Source organism: Homo sapiens, chromosome 5 (genome assembly GCF_000001405.40).
Source record: "Homo sapiens chromosome 5, GRCh38.p14 Primary Assembly".
NCBI lineage: Eukaryota > Metazoa > Chordata > Mammalia > Primates > Hominidae > Homo > Homo sapiens.
The window spans coordinates 115,419,139-115,431,591 of NC_000005.10; positions in this window are offsets into that span (position 1 = coordinate 115,419,139).

A 12,453-nucleotide genomic window follows, 5' to 3' on the forward strand; every position below is an offset into this window, starting at 1 on the left:
CAATATCAACCCTAGAGCTGGCACAAAGAATCCCTAGCTGGATCAGCCATCCCTGAAGAGATCTTTCCTGTATTCTCATCTCCCCTGAATTTCTGCATGGATCCTGGGAAGATTAGATCCTTGAATATTCAGTAAAATTATACATTTATGAGGCGGGGAAGGGGAAAGGAATGGGAGTGAGAGAGATGGAGAGGAAAGGGAGAGGTGGACAGGGAAGGGGAGGCTGAAGGGGAGCCACTAATACCTTTACTATACCATTTAAATTAGTACAGACTAGAAATTAGACTGCACCTTAAATACAGGATAGTAATATTAAAGAAAATTTAATGAGTGCAAACTTTTCATGCTATTAATTTATGCTTAGGTTGAAAAAAAAAAGAAGCATTGTTTACAGGGTTTGCTTTTACAAATAATACTTTCTTGCATGTATAACTACAAAATTAAGTCCTGACTCTGGGATTATTGAGTCAATAACTCTATACACTTTAACTTTTGATAGATAACACCAAATAGATGGTGTTTTATTCACAATAAATAATCAGTTATGTGTATCCAATAGCATTAAGTCCATCTGCATATAATTAAAAACCTAAAGTAACTGTGGCTTAACCACATAAAGGTTTATTCTTGTTTGATAAAATAAGCCCAGAGGTAGGCAGTTCCAAGTCACCAGAGTCCTCAGAAGGAGCACTAGGCTCCTCCTATCTTTCTGCTTGGCCACATGAGGTATGTGGGTTTCATCCTCAAGACCACCTCATGGTCCAGCATGCTTACTGGAACTCTATACCTCATGTTTGTATTCCAGGCATAAGGAAAAAGTGAAGGGAGAAGAAAAGAAGGACATACCACTCAGATGAGTCAGTTCCCTCTAAGGAGCCTTCCAGGAAGCCCCAGCTAACATTTCTGCTCACACTACATGGCCACACCTCATAAGGGAGGCTGGGAGATGTAGTCTTTATTTTGGGTAACAATGAAGCTTGCAAAACAAAGTTCAGCTACTAAGAAAGAAAAAGAGAAGGGAGGCAATTTTCCTCTCTGACAACATCATTACTCATCTTGGTTAATTCCAAAATGCTTCTTTTTTTTCCATTTTTTAACAGAAAGAGCTGAATATATACATTTAAAATAAACAAAAAAAGCTCTTCTACAACTCCCACCTTCTTGTAGCTGTTTCATCTATTATGTGCACATTTGGATGTCTTCATCCTAGTGCAATAGGAAAGTTACTCTACTTCAGCAGAACAGACCATGTAGCTCTGAAAGAAGTTTCTGGCACATGGCACTAGCAGTTGTCAACACAAATAAAGCCCCGGCTCCATGTATAAGGAGCTCAAGAACTCATCATGAAGCCTTAACAAATATCAACTCAAAGCCAATATTGTTTGCACTAGCCCCTTCCTACTCCCCAATATTTTTAAAGCAAACTCCAGTCATATAATTTCATTTGTAAGTATCTCAGCACATACCTCTAAAAGGACTCAAAAAAACCCACAATACTCTTATCACATGTAAAGTAATAATAATTTCTTAATGCAAAAAGTCACTGATCAATTTTCCAAGTCTCAAACTTTTTAACAATTTGCTTGAATCAAGGATCCAAATGATATTCCTGTGTTGCAAGTGGTAGCTATATTTAAGTCTCCTTTAACTTTTGGTTTCTCTTCTATCTCTTGTTTTCTTTTTTTTTTTTTTTTTTTACATATAGATATATTTTAATCTGTTTATAAAGTAGATATCTTTAACTGAATTGTACATGATCACTTTCCTTCCCTTTACACTAATATAGTTTCAGTACAGACGTTCATGCGTTCAGAACTGAAACTCTTAGAAAAGATGAGATAGAGAAAGGCCACTCACCCTTCACAGCTATAAAGAATCACTAATGCCTGGCTCCTACCATGAACTTAGAGAGGGCCCCTCATTAACCACGAACCAACAGAATCATAACCATAGAGAAGATTGTCCCCTCTCTTTTATGCATCATAAGTCCATCTCCTGCATTACAAGAACACTGGGCAAGCTGTTGAGGTGACTTCTTAAGACATAAAGGAAATAATTTAAAGATTCATTACATGCAAATCCTTTTTTCACTTCAGCTTCTTAAAGCAGACATGTGCATAACTACCTTTGTAATGTTGCTTTTTTTTTTTTTTCTTTTTTTTTTTTTTTTTCTTTTTTAATTATTATTATTATTATACTTTAAGTTTTAGGGTACATGTGCACATTGTGCAGGTTAGTTACATATGTATACATGTGCCATGCTGGTGCGCTGCACCCACTAACGTGTCATCTAGCATTAGGTATATCTCCCAATGCTATCCCTCCCCACTCCCCCGACCCCACCACAGTCCCCAGAGTGTGATATTCCCCTTCCTGTGTCCATGTGATCTCATTGTTCAATTCCCACCTATGAGTGAGAATATGTGGTGTTTGGTTTTTTGTTCTTGCGATAGTTTACTGAGAATGATGGTTTCCAATTTCATCCATGTCCCTACAAAGGACATGAACTCATCATTTTTTATGGCTGCATAGTATTCCATGGTGTATATGTGCCACATTTTCTTAATCCAGTCTATCATTGTTGGACATTTGGGTTGGTTCCAAGTCTTTGCTATTGTGAATAATGCCGCAACTACCATCAGAGTGAACAGGCAACCTACAACATGGGAGAAAATTTTCGCAACCTACTCATCTGACAAAGGGCTAATATCCAGAATCTACAATGAACTCAAACAAATTTACAAGAAAAAAACAAACAACCCCATCAAAAAGTGGGCGAAGGACATGAACAGACACTTCTCAAAAGAAGACATTTATACAGCCAAAAAACACATGAAAAAATGCTCATCATCACTGGCCATCAGAGAAATGCAAATCAAAACCACTATGAGATATCATCTCACACCAGTTAGAATGGCAATCATTAAAAAGTCAGGAAACAACAGGTGCTGGAGAGGATGTGGAGAAATAGGAACACTTTTACACTGTTGGTGGGACTGTAAACTAGTTCAACCATTGTGGAAGTCAGTGTGGCGATTCCTCAGGGATCTAGAACTATCTCTTGTTTTCTTACAATTAAAAACATTATTAAGGAAAATTTAAAACACAGACAGAAGCCTGTAGGCATTTGAATTTTGCAATCAATTGTCTAACTGGCACTCAACTCTGCTCCCTTTAATGCATCTCCAAACTCCTCCCCTCAACTCCTTGTCTGGGTCACCATCATCTCTTCTAGACCACTATAATGGCCTCCTAACAGGCATTCCAGGCACACTCCAACCTCTATCTGGCACAAATCTGGCCTTTCACCCCTCTGCTTAAATAGAAAGAGTAAAATTAATAAAGCCATTGACAAAGAACTCATGATATTTATTTTCTTGTGTTGTTCAAAAACTTGCCTCTGAAGGAAGTTTCCAAATGTGACTTCAGCAAACAACCTATGCTCACCTGAATACACATCAGATATCGAATACTACATTAAAATATTTGGGTGATAGAAACCCCTACCTGTTGCACAAACGGGGTCGATTGATCTGGGCCCTGGTGCATGCATTCTCTTTGCTAATGTTGGGGCTTCAGGAAATATCCAGGGTGTTTTCACAGTATAGCTTCCTGGTTCACATTCTGTATCCCTCCTGTTGTATGACAGCTCTTTCCTGATCTGGTTCCTGTCTTCTGGGTTTGACTCTACTCACATATCGGAGTGTCTCTGCTTTCAACATGCCTTTTGCTTGCTGGTTTTTACCTCCTGTTCCGAGATCCCAGCTTGTCTCTCCCCTTCCCAGGTTTGGACCTACCCCTTTTCAGAACTGTCATTTCTAACAGACTTCACTTACCCATTCTGCCAAAACATATACACACACAACCATCGCCACCACCAAAGACATACGTGTTCAGATCATTTTTCCTTAATTAGCTATATTGAATTATCACCATACCTCCTACTGTGTTCTGTCCTGAAGGAATTAATGGCCTAGGGAAGCAATAATACAGATCAGTATATACACAATAGCGGTGCCCCTTCTCTCACATGAATTTGAAAACAATGTCCAGCCTGGCTTGGAGATCTGGGATTTGGATTAATAGAGATTCCCCAGGGTGATGAGTCATCAGAATTTACTGTACTTACTAAGGTATAGTGTGTATTCAAATGTAAGTTTAGGTTGGTGGCAAAGACTTAATCATCAAGTCTTGTTTAATCAGGTATTGGATAAATTATACTTTTAAAATCCTAGGTTTGAATCTGTACAGCAGCCAAAGAAGGGTGACAACAGGGGAAATAGTTACTTTTCCAGTTTGTTTATTCTATTTTCTTCCCCTACCCTGATCCCGAATGTTCTTAAATTATCTGTGCAAAATAGCCTGCCAAAATAATTTTCTCCCTAGGAGTCTCTATCTCTGCTTCCCTCAGTGGCGTAAATGAGTGTCTTCCCAGTGGCTACTCTTCAGCTGAACTTTCTGCCTTCCAGAAATAGAGCTTGGCTCTAGCTTGCTAATCCTGTGTCCTGTGAAATACCGCAGCAGGGAGGGGCAGGCTACTGTGCCCGGGTATTATATAAGACTCTACACACCAGGAGCAGCGCCCAACAGACGCCAGACTGCCCCAGGCAGGGCCCTCACAGTGGTCCCAGAGCCTTCCCACCCTGTCAGCACTGGGACATGCCAGCTATTGGCCACACAGGGTGGGTCATTTAATATCCTGTTTGTTATTTTTACTACAGTGCTGGCTACTATTTTACTTGGAAATCTGAGGAAATGTATCCTTCCACCTGCTAAGTCCAGATTAGGAAAATAAGTAGCCTTTGAAAGAATAAAGGTCTTTATATGGCTGGGGAATTGGAACTGAAACCCAGTTCTCTCTCAGACTGTCAGGAGCAGCGCTTAAAAGGTTGCATGCACCCTGGGCCACACAAATGTCAATTATTTAGCCACAGAATCTTTGCGCTAGAGAGGACCTTAGTAAGAGAGATTATCCAGTGCTACCTTCTCATAGCTCTAGTTAAAGAATGTTGAGATAAGTGCCTAACAGACATTTCTACCTCCCCAGTGAATGCTGGATAGTGCTCACGTCCTCCTCCCCATGAGCACCCACAAGGACGGAGAAGGAGGGGCTAGAACAGCTGAACACACAGCCCGCACTCCATTTCAGACAAAGGCTTAAGAGGAAGACTCTGGAAGTAACAGCAACACGCAGATATGGGTGTAATCTGTAGTTCTGCTTCTTCTTTCTACTCCTAGCTTCCATTTCCATGGGAAATAAGGGGAGGTGATCCTATGGATAACATAAAAAATGCCATTTCTGGTTAATGTAGATGTAGTTGAAAAGGTAGATGATCTGACAAAATATTTTCCTCAAATGAATCCATTCATCTCCATCATTTGATTAATTTATTCATGTTATTATCTCTGATATGTTAAAATGTCAAGAAGGAAAAGGTCATTTGCACACACATGCAGTCTCCCTGTCACAATTTGAGCTGCCAGACCTCACCAAAGGAAACTAATCACAGTTCCTTTCTCTTGCAGGCACAGATGGCAGCTCTGGCGGCAAGGTGCTCTACAAGGCCTGGCAATAAGGAAGGGTCCAGTTACTCGCATCCAGTGGTCTAGAGCATGTTTGATTAGGCAACTTTTAGCAGTCGTCCTCAGCTGTGCATATTAAAATGGCTCCTTAATTCATGTATAATATCTAGGTATGTAGAATTAAGACATCCTTTTGAATACCATATTTCAGAAACAACTCTTCTTTGGCATATAAAATTTATGGAACAAAATGACAAACAGGGCTGGAATCAGCGGTATGTAGGTAAATGTTTAACAACTGGCTCTGCAAGAAAACAAAGCTCTGATTTGTAGTGTTTGCCATTTTCCATGGTGTAAATACTCCCATCTTGGCAAAGTTCAAGTTACCAACCAAAACTCATTGAATTGGATTTGGGAAGAGATGCACACAATTGGCTCTTGTGGGAAGGTATGTGGCAGTGCCAGCCAGCATCAGCACACTGCTAGCTAAAAGAGCCAACAACAAATCATTTCCTGTGCCTTCTAGGACGTCTTACTTTTCCTAAACAAGTACAGAATGGCTCCAAAAGGAAAATAACACTTCACCTCACTAAAGGAGCTACAGCTGTTTTTATTTTTATTTTATTTATTCTAGTCAAATAAAAGGAGCAAGTCAGGCACTTCTGGGCAACACTGTTGCATCCTGGTCTCTTCACTGCACAGGACTGATTTGATTTCTACTTTGGGATTCTGCTAAAGTCCGGATAACTTTGGGGTGACTTGATAAGAATCTGTGGACCCAAGAGAAGCAGAACAGCATAATGATTGAGTATAGAATTTAGATTCCAAACAAAGTTCCAAGTCAATTTTATCTAGAGAATACAATAAGCAGTTCAAGTAAGATCCACGGCCTCTCTAAACTGGAGTAAATTCATAATATAACAAATTCATAGTGCAGATGTGAAGGTTAAATAAGAAATGTATATAAAGCATTTAGCTCAGCATCTGGCACAGAGTGCTCCATAAACAGTAACTATGATGATGATTATTCCTATTACCTAGCCTGGTTTTTATTTCAGCATTGTCCCTACCTCACTTGTCTATTAAGTCCTGTCCTATAAGTGATCAAGGCATCTGCTTCTACTGCAGACTGCCAGGGCTCGTCTTCTGTCTCATGAGGCAAGAGAATTCTAAGGTGAGACATCAGCTATGTAGTCCATAGGTAGCTATTTTCTGTTGGGAAGAAACATGGCAACAGAATTATCAGCAGTAAGGCCTAGCTCTCAACAACAAACAGAGGGTCTTTAGAAGCGGGAGCGTCAGTGAGGAGTGGGGATGTGGACATATTAGGCTCTGAACTTCTAACACCCTAGCCTGAACTTGGTTGTTAGGCAGCAGCTCTTCCCCTGCATCCACTGGTTCTCTCATGGATCCCAACCTCACCTCCCTTCATAGCTCTGCCTAGACTCTCCCCTCTCCACTCCTGTGCTGAAATTCCCCAGCCCCTGCTTCCTCCCTAGACCCACCCTGCACAGGAGCAGAAACAACTTCCAAAGCTAATTGCAATCCTTCTGTTTATGAATCATTTTATGGTTTTCAAACTCTTTTGCTTCCATATATGTTTTGACCTTATCAAAACCACTAAGCAACGCAGGGCTGACTTTATTACCTTCTTTTCATATATATATATATATATATATATATATATATATATATATATACACACACACACATACATACACACACACACACACACACACACACAGAAATTGTGTCCCAGAGAGGGTGAGTGACTGGCCAAAGGTCAGATGATGTTTGTGGCAGAGCCACCTGCCCTTGTGTTTAGGTCTCCCTCTAGCATACCTTTTCATTACAGCAGGATTCTGAGCAAAAGCCAGTTTTATCTGTCAAGCCCCAAGCTGGAGAGCAACACCATCCCAGTGCCTGTATTATCAGGTTCATTAATTCTATCAGCTTTCCCTGCTCTGTGTCTGAACACACTGTCCCCACACTACCTTTGGCTGAAATAACTTTCTGAGCCTGACTAGTTCTTTGGTGATGAGAACAGAGCTGTGGCCCCTCTGCTTTCCCTAAATGGACTCTTAGCTGGGTGAGTCATGGAAAGACTTCTGGAATTCTCAGAGGAAAATTATTAAACAAACACTAGCTTGGAAGGACCTAAAAGATTATCTAGTCCAGCTTCGAATTGGATGAATGAATCAAGGCAGAGAGATTGAGGGACATGAAGTCCTTGGACTGGTTGGCCAGTGGCTGAAGATGGTAAATAGACCTCAACTCTCCTAACTCCCTGTGAAAAGCTCTTTCACCTTAGGCCAAGACTCTTTCTTGGATGTATAATCCTCTTCTAAAGACTTGGGATTTTCAGTTATTTAAGACGAAGAAAAACAAACAAACAAACAAACAAGAAAAAGGCAAGGTTGTAAACCCAAATGTGGAAAACAAATGTTGGCTCTTCTTTTTCTATCATAAGATCCTGCTGTTTCTTTATTCATTATGCGCAATGCAAAGATGAGAAAATAACAACTAAAGAAAACCACATTTTATACATAGAGCACTACACCTTTAAACATCCTGTGACATTTTTCTTGAAATATATGTGAGGACTAACTCTAAAATAATGAGATTTTCTTTTTCAAATGCGACCTAATGTCTGAATTAGTAGAAACATCAAGCTCAGAATGCTTCAGAACTCTTTGGAATTCTCTTCAGAACCTATGGCTCAGTCTTTTGCATGTCTTTGGTGAAACGAGGCTCCACCTTGGTGAAATTGGACTCTTAGCGCCTTCTTCTGCAAAAGCCCCCCAAAATACTTCTTTATCTTTCCATTGTGGCAATTCAGAAAATGTTGATGTGGATCTGAGACTTTTTAGCTGCAGGAAGTCAGTAGATTTTGAAAAACCCATTACGCCTCAGGTGGAGAGAGACTCAGAGCTGTGTATTATCCTTGCTGCTCATTCTCAAAAGAGCAAAATTAGTTTCCCTTCAAGACCAGGTAAATTATTCCAGTGAGGTTTAATAAGCGATCCCCTTCTAATATGGTTTGGTTCTGTGTCCCCACCCAAATCTCATGTCAAAATGTAATCCCCACGTGTCAGGGACAGACCTGATGGAAGGTGATTTGACTGTGTGGGCAGTTTCCCCCATGCTGTTCTCGTGACAGTGAGTGAGTTCTCATGGAATCTAATGGTTTAAAAGTGTGGCACTTTCTCCCTTGCTCTCTCTCTCCTGCTGCCTTGTGAAGAAAGTGCTTGCTTCTCCTTCACCTCCCGCCATGACTGTAAGTTTCCTGAGACCTCCCCAGCCATGCAGAACTGTGAGTCAATTAAACCTTACCCAGTCTCGGTAGTTTTTTATAGCAGTGTGAAAATGAACTAATACAACTTCTTCCCTCCTCCCAATCTTCTAAAATGCTTGCTGAGCCCAAAAATTTCTTTTAAAAGTGATTGCATATAGAAGAGGAAGGGTGAGACTGAGGAGGGAGAGAGATTCCCAAAGTAGGGAAGAATTTCATTCTGCAATAAAAGATTTTAAAATTAAAGGTAAACACCTGGCTGAGTAACCTAGTTAAGGGACTTCCAGGAGACAGCAGAGCAACACATTTTTGTGTAAATAAACTATTTGCAGAGCCTCCCTTGGTTTGGAGAGTGTGGAAAGCTGAAGACAAAATGAGAAACACCCTCATGAAAAGGAATAATGTCTACAAATGGTGGGGGAAGAGCCCTTTAGGGCTCTTTTTTTCCCCAGCTTACTCAGGACAAAATGTAATAACGACAGCAGAGGAGGGTGTATCATATAACTAACGAGGCCTAAGTTTCAGGTTTCCTGAATTGCACCAGCTCCTTTCAAGGCTCTCTAGCTAATTTTATATTTCTATATGTTTTCTTTTTCTTAAGGAAGGCCTCCCAGATTAAATAAATTTCAGTGGGCAAAATATGGTTTGGCCCCTGAGTGTGCCAGGTAGAGATTCTGTAGCAGAGTTACACAGGTAGGCCACTCTGATGTGAGTCATGGATGAAATGCTTAAATGTGCTTCTTTTACTTTGATGTGCAAGAAGGACCATATGTATTTTTTATAAATCAACCTGATTTCCATTTGGAAGCCCCACTCTGCTAGGTGGTACACACACACACATGCACATGCACACACACACACTACTCCCAGGATGGCTGCTCTGCCCATGCTTGAGACTCAGCAATTGCTGCTGGCACTGAGAACTCCAGAGCATGTGTCCTCGTCTCTTCCAGCACAGCATGCAACCATCTCCTTTGAGCATTAGCTGCTTCCTTGAGCTCTTAGAATGAAAGGCACATTCTCTGCTTGACATTCATAAACCTCTTCTGCTATGGGAGAATAATCTCCTCTTCTCTAACAGTATCCTCCAAGTCACTCGCCTCTTCTGTCAACCTTATCCTCTTTCTTATTCTTTTACGATAATCTTTTGGTGTATTATCCCATAGTATGATGATTAACAAATCAAATATTGGTTTGTCTTTCCATGTGGCAGAAGGCCCTGATCAGCAAACTCTCCCCAAAAGAGAGGAGACTTTACATTAAGTTCTTTTAGTGCAGACAAAAAAGAGAGGGGAAAGCAAACAGTATGATAGTTCCATAAGATAGAATGATTATTTTTAAAAGGCCACACGTCATCGTTTGTAGCTAATCTTGCCTCATCAGTTCTCCAACCACTGGGAGAAAAGGCTGTTTTAAGGCAGAAGAGAAAGCCTCTGATGAATTTAGATGGTGTGGGGGGATATTGCAATGGAAGACTACAGTTCACACAAAAGGAAGTGCTCATTTCTAGGCTTGATCCTGGGGCCAGTGAAAAACTCTCTAAGGGAGTACTCCCCTTGCTATATATGGTTGGCCCAAATATAAACCAGGCTTGTTTTTCAGCTTCATACTTAGTGAGTCAATATTTGCAAAAATGCTGCAAATATCACCTTATGGAAATGTTATTACAGTGTTCTTGTGGTTTACTTTTATTGTTTGCTTGTTGTTTTTCTACTCCAAGTTTATTATAAGGCCTCTTTCAGGCAGTTTTTCAGCCTAATGTAGAATGGTATGGTTCAGTGCATAAACAGCCATACACACCCTCTCATGTCCAGAATTGATCAAGTAAACTCTGACTTCTCATTTCCTTAGACAGGATTGCCCCAGTCCCAAAGGGAAGGAAAGCTGGCACAGTAGGTATTTACCCAGTGTGGTATGCAGGGGTAGTGCAACCATACTGTGCAAAGGCCCCAGCACAAAAAAGAAAAGTGCACTCTTTCTACAAATTGGGGCCAGTTCTCTGTTGTTTCTGTTCTGTTTGTTTTTGGCGCAGTTTCCTGATTCAGATGAATCCATTTTGCATTAACAGAACAAACAAGTGCATAGAAGGGACTTGTGCTCAAAGATGTGATGTTTAGATTCAGTGATGAATTAAATCTTTTAGGGAAAATGAGCCTCTCTTAGGGTTCCTCCTGAGGGCTATATAAACTCTGTGATACTAATCTAGCAGGGTGTCTATACTCCTGAGGATTGATAGCTTCCTGTTCAGGTTTGTGTGCCACCAACTCGCCCAAACAACTCTCTTGCTAATAATGTTTTAGATTCCCCTAATAATACCCAGCTTAGGCCTGAGCATACCAGATAAATTGAAACAATAGTTATCAGTTGATTCTACCTCTCTATATTCAGCTTGTAACTAACACCCCAGAAGAGAAATTCCTCCTGCATTAACCTGCTGACACTGGCCACGATTTCAAGCATACTTTGAGTTTTCTATCACTCTCATTGTTTTGTATCTCAGAAACCCACTGGTGCCTGTCTCTACATTTAATCATCTGACATTTGTAAGCCTTCAGTAATAGCACCATCAAGTTTACCCAGGATGTTTACCATCAGTTACTCATCACAGTACACCTGCAGGGCAGGTAGCTGTTGGGACTGCATTTTATAGGACAGGAAACATACCCCAAATGATGACACACAGGGAATCTGAGGCAGCACCATGATCCAAATTCTAGATACTAAAGCTGTACCTGACCCAATACAGTAAATGCTAATGCGTTAGGTGGATTTTCATCACTGTATAGTTGACCTGTTACTCAAAGCACTGCCTTCTCTAGAAAACCTTTTTCCAACCACTCCAGTCCACAGTTACTCTCTCTTGAAGCAACCTTCCCCAGCTCCTTCCCAAACTCCAGACATATTTTCTTTGTATATTATATTCATATTTAATCACATCCTCTCTGTATGGTCAATCGTTTTCAGGTTATATTACTTTCTTTCTGGAATATGATCTCCTCAAGGATACTTGGATTTGTATTCCTCCATCATTCCTAGCACTGTGCTTATTCCCAGATGGGCCTGAAAATGCACTCTCCCGTGGCCACTGCTGGCCTGGCTGGCTGCTGAAAACGATAAACTGAACTAGGATGTGCTTCTCAGCTTGACCCAAAAGGAACACATAGACTACCCACTGCCAGGTACTGCCTCCCTGGTGGACTCCTCTGAACCAAGCAGGTAACAGGCATTGCCTCCCTGCAGTCCTTGCAGAAGTCTTGTACTGTAACATGCCCTCTTGGCCTCACAAGTTCATGTGTAAGCAGTTCATGAGCTAACCTTGAAGTGAGCACCCATGAATTGCCAGCTTGCCCTGGGGAGCTGGGCAGCAAAGACAGAGCTGAGTAAGGCTGGCCTCTGTGTTCAAACCAACAAGCTCAAGAGTGTCTAATTATTTCTAGAGACGCTGCTCTGCTGTGGCAGGTCTACACCTGTCTACTCAGCAAGCATCCCATTTAACTTGTACATGCAGGGAAAGCAAAAAGGCATGTTCACTTTTACAAAAGGTAAACATGTTCAAAGTAGAACATTTGGGAAATAAGTCTATAAAATTATAAAGCTATCCATTTTATATTTAGCCAAATATAAAATTGATATTTATC